The sequence below is a fragment of the Homo sapiens genome, chromosome 11, assembly GCF_000001405.40.
Source record: "Homo sapiens chromosome 11, GRCh38.p14 Primary Assembly".
Taxonomy (NCBI): Eukaryota; Metazoa; Chordata; class Mammalia; order Primates; family Hominidae; genus Homo; species Homo sapiens.
The window spans coordinates 22,064,940-22,084,383 of NC_000011.10; the positions used below are offsets into that span (position 1 = coordinate 22,064,940).

At 36.3% G+C, this 19,444-nt stretch overlaps 1 long non-coding RNA gene across 7 annotated transcripts in view, besides 1 other annotated feature; it reads left to right on the plus strand.

The window, feature by feature from the left end:
• LOC102723370 (uncharacterized) overlaps nt 1-19,444 on the plus strand; it is a 366,694-nt gene that overhangs the window by 311,734 nt on the left and 35,516 nt on the right. For all 7 annotated transcript variants that reach the window (XR_007062619.1, XR_931110.3, XR_931111.3 and 4 more), the window contains one exon: nt 14,602-14,763. This is a non-coding gene — a long non-coding RNA (uncharacterized LOC102723370). The remainder of the gene's footprint in view (nt 1-14,601; nt 14,764-19,444) is intronic.
• Nucleotides 482-1,118: an enhancer, noted in NCBI's record as "OCT4-NANOG hESC enhancer chr11:22086967-22087603 (GRCh37/hg19 assembly coordinates)". NCBI's record gives its function as "activates a minimal SCP1, AML or CMV promoter by ChIP-STARR-seq in naive H9 embryonic stem cells {active_cell/tissue: H9 hESC(naive)}" and the evidence as "EXISTENCE:reporter gene assay evidence [ECO:0000049][PMID:30033119]".

The following is a 19,444-nucleotide window of genomic DNA, read 5'->3' on the forward strand; positions in this document are numbered from 1 at the left end:
GAGAAATTTAAAACTGAAATTGATATGATTTTAAAAACCAAACAGAAATCCTAGAAGTAAAAAATATAATAATTAAAGGGAAAATGCAAGAAGAAGCATCAACAGCAGAATTGATGAGGCAGAAAAAATAATCTGTAAACTTGAAGACAAGTTATTTTTAAAAATATACCCTGAGGAGTAAAAGGAAAATAGAATGTAAAGTTTGATGGTTAATATTGTCAACTTGATTAGATTGAAGGACGCAAAGTATTGCTTCTAGGTGTGTCTGTGAAGGTGTTGTCAAAGGAGATTAACATTTGAGTCAGTGGAATGGGAGAGGCAGACCCACCCTCAATCAGGGTGGGCAACATCTAATCAGCTGCCAGCCTGGCTTGAATAAAACAGGCAGAAGAAAGTGGAATGAAGAGACTTGCTGAATCTTCTGGCCTTCATCTTTCTTCTGTGTTGGATGCTTCTACCTGGGCACCCAAACTTTCTCATACATCTTCTGAAATCTAGGCGGAGGTTGCTAAGCATTCTTCATGCTCATTCTGTGCACTTAAAGGCTTAACATCATGTTGAAGATGCCAAGGCTTACAGCTTGTGTTATCCATAGTGGAAGCAGAACCTGTACCTGAGCCCTTTTAAGCAATGGCTGGAGCTGGAGAGGCTGGAATGTAGGCAGCATTGTCTTGAGGCTGCACATGGCAGCAGGAACTGGGCCTGTCCCATGAAGCTATTCTTTCCTCTTAGGCCTCTGGGCCTGTGACAGTAGCCTCTGCTGTAAAGTTCTCTGAAATGCCTTCAAAGCCTTTTCCTCCATTGTATTGGATAGTAGCACTTGACTCCTGTTTAGTTATGCAAATATCTGTAGCAAGTGGTTGCTTCACAGCTTGCTCGTATTTCTCTCCTAAAAATATTTTCTTTCTCTGCCACATCTGCAAATTTTCCAAACTTTCACATTCTGATTTTCTTTAAATATAAATTTTAACATAAAGTCATTTCGTTGCTGCTACATCTGAGATAGGCCCCTAAAAGCAGCCAGGCTACTTCACGAACACTTGTTGCTTAGAAATTTCTTCCATCAGATACCCTAAATCATCACTTTGAAGAAAAATTTTCCACAATACTTAGGACATGAACAGAATGTAGCCAATTTCTTTGCTAAGGCATAACATGCATGACCTTTGCTCTTGTTCCTAATAAGTTCCTCATTTCCACTGGAGACCCCTTCAGACTAGGCTTCACTGTCCATATCACTATCAGCATTTTATTTACAACCATTTATCCAGTCTCTAAGAAGTTCCAAACTTTCCCTTATCTTCTCCTGAGCCCTCCAAACTCTTCCAGCCTTTGCCTGTTACCCACTTCCAAAGCTGCTTCCACATTTTCAGGTATCTTTATAACAATACCCCACCCCCAGTCTGATTTTCTGTATTAGGCCATTCTTGCATTGCTATAAAGAAATACCTGAAGGGGTTGGCCAAGATGGCTGACTAGAAGCAGCTAGTGTGTGCCACTCTCATACAGAGAAATATAAGGGGAAGTAAATGCAGCACCTTCAATGGAAACATCCAGGTATGCACACTGGGACTCAACAAGGAAACAGCTTGACCCACAGACAACAGAGAAAATCAAAGCAGGGCATCCATCCACCCAAAAGTGACACAGAGCCAAGGGAGCCTCCACAGCCCAGGGAAGTAGTGAGTGAGTGAACAAACCTGGGGACCCACATTTCTTCCATGGATCTTTGCAATCCTAAGGACACCTCAAGAGCCCACTCCACCAGGGCCTTCCATCTGACACACAAAGTTATGTGGCGTCTCAGCAGAGCAGACACTCAGGCACATGAAGAGGCCCAGGAATCTTAGATACCTGGGCTTCCCAGGAAAGGTTACTGCAGCTCCAGCAAAGCTGGAGGTTAGAACTTCATACACACCCCTAGGAAAGGGGCTTAATTCAGGAAGCTGAGCAGCAACAGGCTGAAAGCCCTGCTTCTATAGAAACCCACAGAATAACACTGGCATAGGAGTTTAGCAAGCCATTGGTAGCAGCATTGCACCTCCTTGACATGGAGCTCCCAGGGGGAGGGGCAAGCCACTATCTTTGCTGTTTCACAGCCTTAATTATTGTTTCTTAAGCTCTAGGAAGTCTGAGGCAACTGGAGTCTAGAACGGTCCTCCAGCACAGTTCAGCAGCTCTATGGGAAAGTGGCCCAACTGCTCATCCATCATTTCTCTTCATTGAGTGGAATCTCCCAACCAGGGCAGGGTCTTCAGTCACCCTTGTCAATGTTTTCCAGCCAACAGTGGATACAAACCTCCCTGGGACAGAGTTCCCAGAGGGTGGGGTAGGCTGCCATCTTTACTGTTTCACAACCTTAACTTTTGTTGCTTTCTGGATTTGGAGAGTCAGAGGCAACTGGGGGCTAGAATGGACCCCCAGTGCACCACAGCTGCTCTACAATAAAGTGACAAGACTACTTTTTTTTTTTTTTTTTTTTTTTTTTTTTTTTAACACAAGTCCCTGATCTTCCTCCTTACTGAGCAGGACTGCAGGACATCCCGACCAGGGACTCCAGCTACCCCTGCTGGTGTTTTCTGGATGGCAGCAGTTTCAAATCTCCCTGAGATCACCCTAGAGCTGCAGTCTTACAAGAAATCTCAAAGGGGTACTATATATGGAAAGAAAAGGCTGTTACCAGCCAATAAAAATACACACTAGGTACACAGACCAGTGACACTACAAAGCAACCACACAAACAAGTCAGCATAGTAACCAGCTAACAACACAATTACAAGATCAAATCCACACATATCAATACTAACCTTGAATTTAAATGAGTGAAGTAACTTGTTTAAAAGACACGAAGTAACAAGCTGGATAAAGAACTAAGATCCAATAGCATGCTGTCTTCAAGAGACCCATCTCACATGCAGTGACACCCATGGGCTCAAAATAAAGGGATAGAGAAAAATCTACCAAGCAAATGAAAATCAGAAAAAATCAGAGGTTGTTATCCTAATTTCTGACAAAACAGACTTTAAAACAACAAAGATTAAAGAAAAAAAAAAACAGAAAAATATTACATTATGGTAAAAGGTTCAATTTAACAAGAAGAACTAAATGTCCTAAATGTATATGTGCCTGATACAGGAGCACTCCGATTCATAAAATAAGTTAATATTTACCTACAGAGGGACTTAGACTCCCACACAATAATAGTGGGAGACTTCAACACACCACTGACAGTTTTAGATAGATCATTGAGGCAAAATATTAACAAAGATATTCAGGACCTAAATTCAACATTGGACAACATAGATCTAATAGACATAAACAGATCTCTCTACCCAGAATATACATTCCTCTCATTGCCACCTGGCACATACTCTACAATCAACCACACTATCGAACATAAAACAACCCTCAGCAAATGTAAAAAGAAATGAAATTATATCAAATACACTCTTGGACACCAGCACAATAAAATTAGAGATCAAGACTAAAAAAATTGCTCAAAACCATGTAATTACATGCAAATGAAGCAACCTGCTCCTGAGTGACTTTTGGGTAAATAATTAAATTAAGGCAGAAATCAAGAAGTTATTTGAAATTAATGAGAATAAAAATACAGCATACTCAAGTCTCTGGGACACAGCTAAAAGGGTGTTAAGAGGGAAATTTATAGCACTAAATAGTTATAAAGATCTCAAATTAACAACCTAATATCACAACTAAAAGAACTAGAGAAGCAAAAGCAAACCAACCCCAAAGCTAGCAGAACACAAGTAGTAACCAAAATCAGAGCTGAACTGCAAGAGACTGAAACATACTAACAGAAAGATACATTCAAAAGATCAACAAATCCAGGAAATGGATTTTTGGGGGAAAAAAAATAGGCCACAAGCTACACTAAGAAGAAGAGAGAGAAAATTCAAATAAACACAATTAGTAATGGCAAGGGGATATTACCACTGACCTCAGAGAAATACTAATAATCATCAGAGACTACTATGAACATCTTTGAAAATCTAGAAGAGACAGATAAATTCCTGGACACATACACCCTCACAAGACTGAACCAGGAAGAAATTAAATCCCGGAAAATACAAATAATGAGCTCCAAAATTAATCAGTGATAAACAGCCCAAACCAAAAACACCCAGAACCAGACAGATTCACAACCATATTCTACCAGATGTACAAAGAAAAAGTGAAATCATTACTACTGAAACTATTCCAAAAAATTGAGGGGGAAGGATTCCTTCTCAACTCATTCTATGAAGCCAGTATCATCCTGATACCAAAATTTGGCAGAGACACAACAACAACAAAAAACATTCAGGCTGCTATTCTTGATGAACAGATACAAAAATCCTCAGTAAAACACTTGCAAACTGAATCCAGCAGCACATTAAAAAACTAGTCCACTATGATCAAGTAGGGCTTATCCCCAGGATGCAAGGTTGATCCAACATATGCAAATCAATAGATGTAATTTATTAAATAAACAGAGCAAAAGACAAAAACCACATGATTATCTCAATAGAGGCAAAAAAGTTTTTTGCTAAATCAACATACTTTTATGTCCTCAATAATCTAGGTATTGAAAGAATATACCTCAAAATAATAAGCCATCGATGACAAACCCACAGCCAACATCATACACAGTGGGCAAAAGTTGAGAGCATTCCCCTTGAAAACTAGCAGAAGACAAGGATGCCCTCTCTAACCACTCCTATTCAACATAGTATTGGAAGTCCTGGCTAGCAATCTGGCAAGTTAAAGAAATAAAGGGCATCAAATTAGGAATAGAGGAAGTCAATCTATCCCTGTTTGCAGATGACATAGTTCTACATATAGAAACCCCATAGACTCAGCCCCAGAGCCCCTTAAGCTGATAAACAACTTCAGTGAAGTCTCAGCATACAAAATTACTGTATTAAAATCACCAGCATTCCTATACACCAACAAAGGCCTAGCTAAGAGGCAAATCAGTAATGCATTCCCATTTACAATTTGCCACAAAGAGAATACAATACCTAGGAATACAGCTAACAAGGGAAGTGAAAAATCTCTACAATGAAAATTGCAAAACACTGTTCAAGGAAATCAGAGATGACGCAAATTGGAAAAGATTCAAATTGGAAAAGATTCCATGCTCATAGATAGGAAGAATCAATATCATTAAAACGGCCATGTTGGCCAGAACAATTTACAGATTCAATGCTATTCCTATCAAGCCACCAATAATATTCTTCACATAACTAGAAAAAACTGTTTTAAAATTCACATGGAAACAAAAATTATCTGAAATATTCAAGGTAATGCTAAATAAAAAGAACAAAGCTGTAGGCATCACCCTACCTGACTTCAAACTATACTACAGGGGCATAGTAACTGAAACATCATAGTACTGGTACAAAAGCAGAAAAATAGACCAATGGAACAGAATCAAGAGCAAAGGAATAAGGCCACACACCTACTACCATTTGATCTTTGACAAAGCTCACAAAACCAAGGAATGGGGAAAGGACTTCCTATTCAATAAATAGTGCTGGGATAACTGGCTAGCCATATGGAGATGATTGAAACTGGAACCCTTCTTTACACCATATATAAAAATCAACTCAAGATGGATCAAAGACTTAAATTTAAAACTCAAAACCATAAAAATCCTGGAAGGCAACCTAGGTAATGCCATTCTGAACATAGGAACATGCAAAAATTTCATGACAATGACACCAAAAGCAATTGCAACAAAAGCAAAAAATGACAAATGGGATCTAATTAAACTAAAGAGCTTCTGCACAGCAAAAGAAACTATCAACAATGTGAACAGACAAACTGTAGAATTTGCGAACAAATTTTGCAAACCTTTAGCTGGACTAACTAAATAAAAAAACTGAGAAGATTACAATAAACAAAATCAGAAATAAAGGAGGAGATATTACAACTGATATCACAGAAATACAAAGGATCATGAGAGATTATCATACACCAACAGATTGGATAACCTAGAAGATACAGATGTATTCCTGGACACATACAACCTACCAAGTTTGAATCATAAACAGAAAATTTGAACAGACCCATAATGCCTAAGTAACCAGTAATAAATTTCTTTCATCAAAGAAAAGCCCAAGACCAGATGGCTTCAAGGCTAAATTCTACCAAACGTTTAAGGAACAAATACCAATTCTCACACACTTCCAAAAAACAGAAAAGAAGAGAATACTTCCAAACTAATTTTATGAGACCAGCATTACCCTCATTAAAACCAGAGAAGGACACCAGAACTGTTTTCCTTTCTTCTGGTGTCATTTTCTGGTTTTAAGATTAGGCTAATCCTGGTCAACCTCCCTTGTGAATGTACATGCAAAAATACTTAACAAATTGTTTAAAAAATAAATTCAACAGTGATTAAAATGAGCATTCACCATGATCCAGCGGGATTCTTTCTAGGTATATGTTTTAGTCCATTGTCGCATTACTATAAAGAACTACCTGACACTGGGTAATTTATGAAGAAAAGAGGTTTAATTGACTCACAATTCTATATGTTGTACAGGAGACATGGCTGGCTGGGGGGCCTCAGGAAACTTACAATCATGGTGAAAGGTAAAAGGGAAGCAAGCTGGTCTTCACAAGGTGGCAGGAGAGATAGTGAGAGAAGAGGGAAGTGCTGCAAACTTTTAAACAACCAGATCTCATGAGAACTCACTCACTATCATGAGAACAACAAGGGGGAAATCCGCCTCCATGATCCAGTCACCTCCTACAGGTCCCTCTCCCAACATTCGGAATTACAGTTTGACATGAGATTTAGGTGGGGACACAGAGCCAAACCGTATCAGTATATGAAGGTAGTTCAATATACAAAAATAAATAAATGTAATACATAACAAATGACACAAACCATATGATCATTTCAATAGATGCAAGAAAAGCATTTGACAAAATTCAAAATTATTTCATGATAAAAAGATTCAACAAACTAGGTATAGAAGGAATGTACCTCAACACAATAAAGGCCATAGATGACAAACCCATAGCTACCATCATACTCAATGGCAGAAAACTGAAAAGTGTTCCTCTGATATCCAGAAAAAAACAAGAATGCCCACACCTACCACCTCTATTCAACATAGCACTGGAAGTCCTAGCCAGAGTAATTAGGCAAGAGAAAGAAATGTGGGGCATTCACATTGGAAAGGAAAGACATGAAATTGACCATGTTTGCAGATGACATGATCTCCAAAAACACTCTACCAAAAAAACAGTTAAAACTAATAAACAATTTCAGTAAAGCTGCAGGAGACAATATCAATATAAAAAAATTGTGTTGTTAATATAAATGAACAGTGAACTATCTGAGAAAGAAATTAAGAACACATTAACATTTGCAAAAGATTTCTTAAAAGATAATATTCTTAGGAATGAATTTAAGCAAGAAAGTGAAAGATCTCTACATTAAAAACTATAAAATACTAATAAAAGAAATTAAAGAAGTCACAAGCAAATGGAAAGATATTCTATGTTTACAGACTGGAAAAATTAATATTGTTAAAATGCCAAGAATAGCCAAAGAGATTTACAGATTTAATGTAATTTCTATTAAAATACAAGAGATATGCTTCACAGAAATTGAAAAACAATCTTAAAATTTGTATGGAACCACAAAAGACTCAGAATAGCCAAAGCAGTATTAAGCAAAAAGAATAAAGCTGGAGGAATAGCAGTACCTGCCTTCAAAATAAATTAGAAAGATATGGTAATGCAAAGAATATGGTACTGGCATAAAGACAATGGGACACTATAAAGAGTCCAGAAATAAATACACACATTTACAGCCAAATGATTCTCTTTTTAAATTGTTATTATAGATTCAGGAGATACATGTGCAGGTTTGTTACATGGATATATTGAATAATAGTGAGGTTTAGGTTTCTAGTGTACCTATCACCCAAATAATGAACATTGTACCCAATAGGTAATTATTCAACCCTCACCCTCCATACACTTCCCCCACTGGATTCTCCAGTGTCTATTATTTCCATCTTTATGTCCATGTGTTCCCATTGTTTAACTCCCACTTAATAGTGACAGTATATAATATTTGATTTTCTATTTCTGAGTTATTTTATTTTGGACAATGACTTCCAGCTCCATCCTTGTTGCTCCAAAAGACAGTATTTCATTCTTTTTATGGCTGTGTAGTATTTCATGATGTATATATACCACATTTTCTTAATCAGTCATGTGTTGATGGGCACTTAGGTTAATTTCATGGCTTTGCTACTGTGACTAGTGCTGTGATAAACATATGAGGGCTGGTGTCTTTTTATATAATGATTCCTTTCCTTTGGGTAGATGCCCAGTAGTGAGATTTCTAGGTTAAATGGTAGCTATATCTTTAGTTCTTTAGGAAGTTTCCATACTGTTTTCCATAGAGGTTGTAGTAATTAACATTCCCACCAACAGTGTATAAGCATTCTTTTTTCTCTGCATACGCATCAACATTTGTTATTTTTGACTTTTTAATAACAGCCATTCTGACTGGTGTAACATGTTATCTCATTATGGCTTTGATTTGATTTCTCTGATGATTAGTGATGATAAACATTTTCTCATGTGTTTGCTGACTACTTCTATGTCTTATTCTGAGAATAATCTCTTCATGTCCTTTTTTGACTTTTTATTGTTTTTTATCTTACTGAGTTCCTTGTAAATTTAACAAATAATATTAGTCCTTTGTTGAATGCATAGCTTGCAAATATTTTCTCCCATTCTAAATGTTGTGCATTTACTCTGTTGATTATTTCTTTTTATGGTCAACTAGTTTTTGACAAAGTTGTCAAGAAAACACAATGGAGACAGGATAGTCTCTTTAATTGTGTTGGGAAAACTAAATATCTACATCCATAAAAATGAAATTGGATTCTTATTTCAAACCATATACAAAAATCAACTCAAAATGAATTAAAAACATAAACATAAAACCTGATATTATGAAACTAGGAGAAAACATGGGGGAAATACTCTATAACACTGGTCAGGCAATAATTTTTTTGGATATGAGATCAAAAGTACAGGCAAGAAAGGCAAAAATAGAAACATGTAATCACATCAAATTTAAAAGCTTCTGCACAGAAAATGCAACAATCAGCAGAGTAAAGAGAAAACCTTAAGAATGGGAGAAAATATTTGCAAACTGTACATCTGATAATCGGTTAATATTCACAAAATACAAGGAACTGAAGCAACTCAATAGTAATAAACTTATATCCAATTTAAAAATGGACAAAGAACCTCAATCAACATTTCTCAAAAGAAGACATACAGGTGGCTAACAGGTATATGAAAAAATGTTTAACATTACTAATTATCAGAGAAATGCAAATTAGGACCACAAATAGATATCACCTCACTCCTGTTAGAATAGCTACCACCAAAAAGACAAAAGAAAAAGGAACCCTTGCACACTGTTGATGGTAATGTACATTAGTACATCCACTATGGAAGACAGTTGGAGGTTCCTGAAAAAACTACAAATAGAATTACCATATGATCTAGCAATTCCATTACTGGGGATTGAAGAGATGTTGGTAAACAGATACAAAATTAGATAGTAGGAATAAGTTCAAGATACCTATTGTACAGCAAGGTGACCATATTTAATGATTACATATCTGGAAAGACGCTAAAACAACTTCCCCTGTCTGAAATATTTTATTCCTCAGCAAGACACTTCAGCACTGTACTCAAACCTTCAATTGTTCTCCTATAATTTCTTATAGTTAGTTTCCTTTTAAATTTCTCTCCTCTAGGAGCCTTCCAAGACATCTACTATGCCACCAGTATTGTTAAGCACCTTCCTGTGTCATTCCATAGTCTTGGAGTTACCCCTTAATACATTATTTATAACAGAGCACTCTGCATTTCTTTGCCTATATTTTCCACAGAACACGAATATATATAAGGTTGTGTCATGTCTTATGTCCTCATATTTAGGGACTCAATGGATTTTTCTTTGATAAATTAATGAGCTTGCCATACCCTTTCTAATCTGGCTTTCTTATGATCAGAATTACTTATTGGCAAAAGTGCCGGTAGCCATGGAATGTGGTAACAATAAAATGCCTCAAAGAAATATAACCCATTACCTTAAGTCTTATATGTTCATATTTTCCTGCCCCAAGTTAATGTTTTCACCCCAAAAATCTCCTCATGAATATTAATATAGTGATTTTCAATCTTTCCTATTCTTGGGCACACTTTAAATTCTAGAATTTTCATCCCAAACTTGCAGATTACATTTATTTATGATATTCCACTATTTTCTTAGTCTCCTTTCAGTAGTCCGTCATTATTGGGTAGAACATTTCATGATATTACTCCCTTCGCTTAACAGAGATCTTTCATGTTTCTGTAAATGAGCCATTTCCATCTTATGCTACCCTTTTTGCTTTATTCACAGCAAGAGGTACTCACTTATATAAAATCTTGCAAAGCCCTCTACTTAACATTCCATCTGCTATATGTCAAAGTAATAATATGTATTCTCTGTTGCTTCTAAAGCAAATTTTATGCATCATTTAAATTTCATGGCTGGCCCAATACTGAAGGGTTTGACTGACATCAGTGCACTACGGCTGACTTGTTACAAACGACCTTCCTAAAAGGACTTTTCACATCTATATACCTCTGACCATCAGTGAAAATGATTTTATTATGGCCCTTTGCAACCCAGGTCTTCACACCTTCCTTAAACAAAACTTTTGGCAAAATAACCACATGTGGCCTCAGAATAAGGAGTTCTTGATTCTGCACCTCAAAAAAAATTGTTCCATAGCAGCACCATCACTACAAATGTTCTCATTTATTCTAGCATTATTTTATCAGGGGCTAAATTTGTTTTTGGAAAGAAGGTGATCTTATTGAAGAAAGTGAGCATGCAAAACAAACGTTGTCAAAAAGTTTCTAGCATGGTCATTCTGATCGTGTCTCTTATGTCCTTATTTTATGTTAAGATGGGCTACATCGATCCCCTTTTTCTTAAGGAAAATTGAGAAGTGAAGCATCAAGATTTAGCTAATATAATACACTAGGAAGAGATGTCTGGAAATCCATATGGAATTTATGTCCCTTCATTTTATAAGGCCCAAACCATCTTTGTTACTCAATGTGTGTGTGTGTGTGTGTGTGTGTGTGTGTGCGCGCGCGCGTGCGCGTGCGTGTGTGCATGTAGGTGGGTGCTTAGTGGGTGCTTTCTGTTGTCCTTAATAAGAATTAAATTCCATCTTTTTTCTTAAGAAAATAAGTGACCAAAGTCATCTAGTGCCTTAGGCCCTAAATCCTAGCCAGAGTAACAGATTCATTTCTTTTCTTTTTTTTTTTTTTTTCATTCTAACTTTACTAACTAGCCTTCAGTCACTGCAATTCTTAACCAATAATTAACCTTACTTCAACAATAATTAACCATGACAGAAAAAGCGTAGCAGGAATAGTTAGAGTGAGGGGGTGGAGAGTAGTACACGTTTTCTTTCATGAAAACAGAGTCGGTTTTACAAAAGTTAAATTCAACTGAAGAGATGTGACAAGAAAGATATAACAAAAATGGTAAAAATGGTAACCAGGAGGAAGAAGATGAACCTCTGCTGTATTTTCATAGCACGTTTCCAAACCTCTATTCCTATCCTTAGTATATTGAATTGTAAATATTGTTCACTGGCTTGATAAATGATGAATGAACAAATAATATCTCCTGGTTTGTAATGAGCATGGAAAGTTTCGTAATGGTTCTAGGAACTGAACTCAGTGCTCATGAACTACTAGGAATCCAGATATAGAGAGTGCCATGAAAAAGACACAGAAGACAGAATGAACTCAGCATAGTAGTGGGACACTTAGTTTAGTGCAGGTACAGAGATAGGCATGACCTTAGAATCTGTCATCTCTAGCCAATTTAATCACAGGGGTACATTTTTCTTTCTAATGAGAAAGAGTAATTTGCAACCACTTTTTTTTCTATTTTTACAACCTAATACTTGTAGTGAAGGAGTCAAGTCTTTTGGGCTCCTGGTGACTATTAAGGTGGAGGTTGCAAAGCAATGTGTGTAAATAAAAGAAAAACCTGAAAGGACACATCTATCACAGCTCAATTAAAAGTCTTATTAGAAATAAAGCTCTTTTATTCAAACAGCTTTATTAAATATTGAGAAAATGTATATAACTAGGAAGGCACTATGTAGATAACATGAAATATGCTGGTTAATTAGTTATACTTTCAGATGGCAAAAAACTTTCTTATTGTAAAATGTCATCTGGAATGTTATCATTTAAAAGTCAGTAATGAAAACAAAAATTAATAAGAACTTTAATGCAATACCAAAGTGTGCAGGAAATAAATGTCACCAGTCTGCAGAAACAAGATCTCTTCTGGCATTTATCATTTAATTTGGTTTTCCATCAATCTTAGCTTTAAAAAAAACTGAAAAGCCCCTAGTCACAATTTGTTAGCCTATTTAGGAAGCCACTGTCTTTAATAACAGAGACAATAAGAAGGCCAAGTGGTTCTAGCAGTCATCTACACCCTTGATGGTTGTCTGAGCCTTCCAGACCTGAGACTGAGTTATGAGCTTAGTATTACTTTTTCAAAAAATTTCAAGATATTTCATGATATTCTCAAGGCATTATCCTCTCTCCCCAGAAATCTACTGAATACCTTAGAATCACCCTATACTGCCCCTCCTCTCTCACATCTGCCCTTACAGCACACACTTCCGGGGCAAACAAGTATTTTCAAGTCTTCAGAAGATGCTATGCCATAAGTTTTTGTTCTCCATCCCTACTGCCACAGATCATATTTATTTTCTGAGATCTGGACTGTTTTCATCTCAGCTTTCTAATGAATCTCTTTATCTTTGGCACCTTTTCCAGGGGCAAAATGTGTGTGTGTGTGTGTGTGTGTGTGTGTGTGTAGAATATTAATTTTACAACAAATAAATTGGTGTGTAGAGGGATTGCCAATATTGCTCTGATCACCACCATTTCTTCTTTATTCATTTAGCAAATCATGTCTGGTTCCTGTGCCAGGCATTAGGGCTATAGCACAAAGCAAGGTAGAAGCAATACCTGTAAATATTAAGCCTACAGTTTAACCTGCATTTAAATATATAAAATCTAAAACTCTTTTACTCAGAAGCCTGCACAATGTTTATCTTTACTAGAACAGAATTGTAAAATAAATATGCTGTAAATCTGCCTGACACTCCACATATACCAAGTAAGTCTCTTGATTTCCAGGTTTACAGTTTAAGTACCTAGGGGTCAAAAATGTTAAATGACGTCACAAAATGGCTTTAGGTTATTGGAATTAGTAACGGCCATCATATATTAATTAATAATAATATATTATTAATGGAAGTAATGATATCTCATAGAGTTGGTGTGAGGGGTAAATGTGGATGTGCGTATGTAATATCCAGCATGTGGCTGATGCTCAAAAATGTTGATACAAAAAACTGTTGATACATTTTCTCTTCTTGCTAGGAAAGATGAATAAAAAATATGAAATGTCCCAAATCAATATAATGCTACAATATCTCCCCAAATTACACCCTTTAAATATGTCTACCTATAGTGTTCTTAATAAATATTTGTCTTGCTGTTATCAAAATTATTACTGAATTATCAAATTTTTATTGTAAACTCTCATCCTTTTTTTTCCTTATCTTATCCTTGGTCTATGAGAATGAAAGTATCCCAGGATGCTATATTCTCTGCACCCCATTTAAATCCCCTCTATAGCTTATCATATAAAAAGGAAACTTACAAGAAATGTACGTAAGTACACTTGTCTGAGCTTCAAATGCCCAGATCTAAGCCTGTGAGAAAACATTTCTCATAGTTTTGAGACATAAAGCTGAAATTTTGGATCCTCTACTTTTCTTTTCTATTATGAAAGCCAGTGAGTTCATTACACAGACTTCTCTCAACCTTATTAGATTTTGCTTCCAGCAAGTTGCTCATGTTGGGAACACTTCACAGAGATACCCACTATTCCATGATCTTGTTTGTCTGAGGTTTCAAAATCTCTTGGCACCCTTTGCATCCTAAACTTTCCTCATGTCTTCTAGCACAGACCTGTTATTTTATAAAATGTATTGGGGATTTTGACACCAAGTTTAACATGTGGTGCAGCCTGTCTTCATGGCAGCTGCTTTCCACTAATCCCATTCCCAAGCAGTCATGTTGTTTGGCAGATGACATTCAACAGGTGCACACCATGTCTTACAAGGTCTGTGGCTGCCACAAGAGGCATAGCTGGAAAAGATCTAACACTGTTGTTGATCTGCAAGCATCTGTTGTGGCCTGGCAACCATGGCTATGGGCAAGAATTCAAATATAGACCAAGAGGGCATTTTGCCATTTTAGCAGATGGACATGCAGAGAAATAGCCAAGAGCCTCTGTAACAAGCATCATGCATGTGGCTGGAGGACAGGACGTGCAGCCAATAACATTTAATTGGCTTTTTATCTGTTGCTTAGAAACCTTGGGTTCAGGAACAATGTCCTTCCTAATTACAACTTGAGCCTTGGACATTCTCTTCACAGGAACCATGATCTGTGACTGCCATGGAAAAGTGTTGGGCAGGAGGAGGCCAGCTGGGTCTTTGAAGTTGACAATGGAGCCAGGAATGAAAGCTGCACTTAGGATGAGAATTGCTTTCCCTGGAGCCAAGTCAGCAAATGCAGTCTGGTTGTCAGAGCTGAGAGGTAAGGAATAAAGATGAATCATTGCATACTTGTGTTCCTTTCCCCTGCTTTCACTCTGAATGAAGAGGAAAATCAGGTGAGACACAAAATAGCCAGGAAATAAATCATTCCTCTACTGGCAAGACAGACTGGGCTGTACTAAACCAGAGTTAGGAAGAAAAGGAAAACAAATGAGAGAAAACTGGACTCTGGATCAATACATTAAAGAACCTGCAGGATTAGAGTAGAGGGTCATGTTAAGGGCTTGAACTCAGAAGTCAGATCATCTAATTTCAATTTCAGCACCTCTCTTACTAGCTTTGTAACTATAGTCAAGCTAATAAACTGTCTGACTCTCATTTGTCTCATCTAGAAGATAAGGATAAAAACACAGTAACTATAAGGCAGTTGTAGTAATTAAATGAGTTAATGTACATAAAGCACCTAGAACAGTGCCCATTACATCGTAAGCATCACATAAGTATTAACTCTCATTATCACATTTAAAGGTTAGTCTCTCTCAGGCAAGCTTCAGTTAATTATGTTCAAACTCCATTAAAAAATGTACTTTGTACCAACCTGCCTCAGTTATATTGCCCCCAGCCTCTTGTAAGATATTGTATTAAATTTTCCTCATTTGGCTTCCTATTATCTCGTAGTAACTGTCATTGTATGTACAAACCATCCACCACTATTCCTAGCCCCAGGAAACCAAAACAAATAAAAAACAACAAGATCATTTAAGAAGTAATCCTCACCCCATTGCTTGACTCCTTACATAAATGTTTTGGTGTCTAATACATCTACCTCTATGGCTGCAGCTACCTCCTCTCCAATAACCTGAAGTCAAAATCACTCTTCAGAGTCCAGACCTGTTTATCCCATGGTATATTAGCCATATATACTTGGATGTCCCACAAGTCCTTCAAACTTTGTGTATTGATCACTGAAGATATTATGTTCACTGCCAACCCCCCGCAAAATTGATGCTGTTTCTTCTTCAATATCCCTAAACCATTCATATGTCCTAGGTTGCTCTTTTAGTCTTAAAAGTGTCTCAACTTGGATATAAATATATAATTGCCTTGTGTATCTCCCATCTCAGTGAACCAGCCACTCAGTTGCTTAAGGCAGAAATCCTAGCTTTTCCTCCACCCAACATAACGCAAATCTAATATATCACCAAACCTGGCCAATTATACATTCTAATTATGTCTCAAATTTACCCCATCCTCTTTAACTACATTGCCACTGCCTTTATGTAATTCCTCACCCCATTTTTCTACTGGCATAGGTTTCCTGAATGGTATTTCTACATTTTCTGTCCCAAAATATCATTCTGAATACCACCATAGCAGTTTTGTTCAAAAACCAAATACGACTATATTATTTCCCAGCTTAAAACTCCGTTCAGTGGCTTTAGTATATAAAGGGAAAATACAAGCTTCTGCCAAACAAAATATTTCAGCCTAATATCTGTAAATGAATGACTTCCAAATGTACATCCCCAGCACCATCCTCTCCCCTAAAAGACAAATTTGAGTGTCCAATGACCTATTCTACATTTCTACTCTAATAGACATCTCAAGCTAAAATTTTCAAATTTCAGGCTTCTGTTTGCCTGAAAAAGGCTTTATTTCACTGGTTTTTCTTAAATGATTATTTTACACGGTACAGAATTCTAAGTTGACAGTTCTTTTCTTTCAGCACAATAAAAATGTTGCCCTACAATGTCTTCTGCTTTTGACTCCTATCTTTGTTCCTTTGTATATAATGTGTTATTTTTCTCTACCTGCTGTTAAGATTGTCTTACTATAATTGGTTTTTACGAAGTTGATTATGGGTGCCTTGGTGTAGTTTTATTTTTATAATCAACTTAGGAATCACTGGGCCTTATCAATATGTGGGTTCATATTTTTCATCATCATACTTGGAAATTTCCAAGCTAAAATATTCAATTTTTTTCTCTCCTCATATCTTTTTAAATATATTGCAATTATATGCATGTTAAATAATTTGATACTATCTCACAAGTCAGTGATATTTATTTTTCAGGCTTTTTTTCTTTCTGTGTTTCTACTGCTGTATCTCCAGATTCTCTGATCTTTTCTTCACAGTGTATAACTTGCAGTCCCTTCCAGCCAATGTATTATTTCAGATATATTTTTAATCTCTAGAAGTTCAATTTAAGTCTTTTTTGTAATTTTCATTTATGTCATTATGGTTATATTTTCTTCTATCTTCTTAAACATTGGAAACATGTTTGTCATAGCTGTTTTAATGTCCTGGCTTGCTAATTTCATTCTCCCTGTCATTTCTGGGTCTATTTCTATTGATTAGTTTTTCTCCCAGTTGTGGGTTCTATTGCATACTTTTTTGTAGGCCTGATAATTTATTTTTTATTTTTTGAGACAGGGTCTTACTCTGTCACCCAGGCTGGAGTGCAATCATAGCTCACTGCAGCCTCAAACTGCTGGGCTCAAATGATCCTTCCACCTTAGGCTCCTGAGTAACTAGGATTATGGGCACACAATACCATATCTGGCCAAATTTTAAATTTTCTGTAGAGACACAGTTTTGCTTTGTTGCCTAGGCTGGCCTTGAACTCTTAGTCTCAAGTAATCTTCCTACTTCAGCCTCCCCAAAGTGCTGGGATTACAGGCATGAGCCACTGTACCCAGCCAATGCCTAGTTATTTTGATTGGATGCCAGACCTTGTGAATGTTACATATGCTGGATTTTCTTGTATGCTTTTGAATAGTGTTGAAGTTTGTTCTGGCACATTGTTAAGTTGTTTGGAATTAGTTTGATTTTTTTTTTTAGGTTTGTTTTTAAGTTTCATTGGGGCAGATCCAGAGTAGTATATGAAATTTATTTATTCCTGCTATAAAGGCAATATACTTCTGAGTACTCTAATTGATGCCCTTATTCATGGGATCTTCCTACTCTGATTGGTGGCTATACAAAATATTCCTAGCTCTGTTTGACTTCTTGAAATTACTCAGCTTACTTATTCCCAGGGGATCCTTCTCCAGCCTTGCATGGTGTTACACGTGCAGATGAAAATTACTACCAAATACACAAGATAAACTCTCTATAGATCTTTGGAGTTCCTTATCTTTATAGGCAGTTGTCTCTTCTCTTGTCTTAAAACTTGCAAATAAATACTGACCAACTTGGTTTCCCCAAACATTATCTCAATCTTCTCAATTTATTAAGACTACTAGGTGCTCTTTGGGTTCTCTTGTTTCTGTATCTATGGCTTGAAAACTGCCTCCAGGCAGAATAAGGGTGAAACTTTAAACCTAATCTTGTTTGCTTTTCTTCTATCAGAGGCCAAAGTCCTGTGCAACTTATTGTCCAAAGTTTGAAAATTGTTTCTTGATAAATTTGGCTCAGTTATCTAGTTTTTTAGAGCAGGTATATATCTACATATATATGTGTATATATGTATATATATATATATCTACATATATATGTGTATATATGTATATATATATATATCTACATATATATGTGTATATATGTATATATATATCTATACATATATGTATATGTATATATATCTATATATAGAGATATATATCTATATATAGATATATATAGATATATATATCTATATATAGATATATATAGATATATATATCTATATATATATATATCTAGTTCCTGTTCAATTTGAAAATACAGAAAAAAACTGGCATAGGCAAGAAACTCTCTCCTGGGGCATTTCTGCCACATCCATTTTTTTTAAGCCATTATCGATCATGGAGGCTGTATCTCAAAGTGTTTAAAAAGCTCACACTCTCAGTGTATGCCTTTAAGCAAGCCTCTTAAACTCTTCAGGGTTCAATTACCTCATCTGTAAAATGGGAATAAGAATAGTTCCTGAAATATAAGGTTGCAGCCAGATTAAATGAGATAATAGGAATAATGTACTTTGCACCAATTTCATCATATATTAAGTGTTCATTAAATATTAGATCACTGTTTTGTTTACAAAGAAAAACAAAAGCCATGGAAGAAAGGGAAATCTGTACTTTAAAGGTTTTTAAGAAAGGATTTACTAGCAAAGAAATATATAAAGAGAGTAACTATGAACTTTAGGGAAGGAAAGGAACAAGCTGTGTCAAGAGTACAGAGGCAGAAGTTTTAAGTCCTGGATTGTTTCATGTTACTCTAGGGCTTGTAAAGAAGTCACCTCACTTCTGTAGATCTCAGTTTCTTCTAAAAGTTGGAATACAAATACTCTCGTGTTTCCTGGCTAGGATGTTGTAAAGATCAAGTGACATAACTGAAGTGAAAGTCTTTGGAAAGGTACACATATCATGTAAGAAATGTTAGATGATGATAGTATTAATGGGCACCTTATAGCCATAAATAAAATGAGCAACAAAGTGTATCCCAGACTCTATGAGAACTACTATCATCAGTTTTATATCAAATAAATAGAAAGTGATGCAGAAGGAAGTCCAGTGGGTAGACAAGAACCCTCAGGGATGCAGTGAAAGAACAAGGGCTACAATTTCAGATTTTTGGCCTCATGTCTAGTTCTCTTTTCCTGCACAGGCTCAGAACTGTTACATTCCTTTCTAAATCTGGATCGGTGACAGCACTTTACATTCTGGTCACAGGAAAAACCTTCTCTGTTGCTGTTATGTTGTTTTGCTGGAGAGCCCCCAAACTCTACACTGTGCAAAAA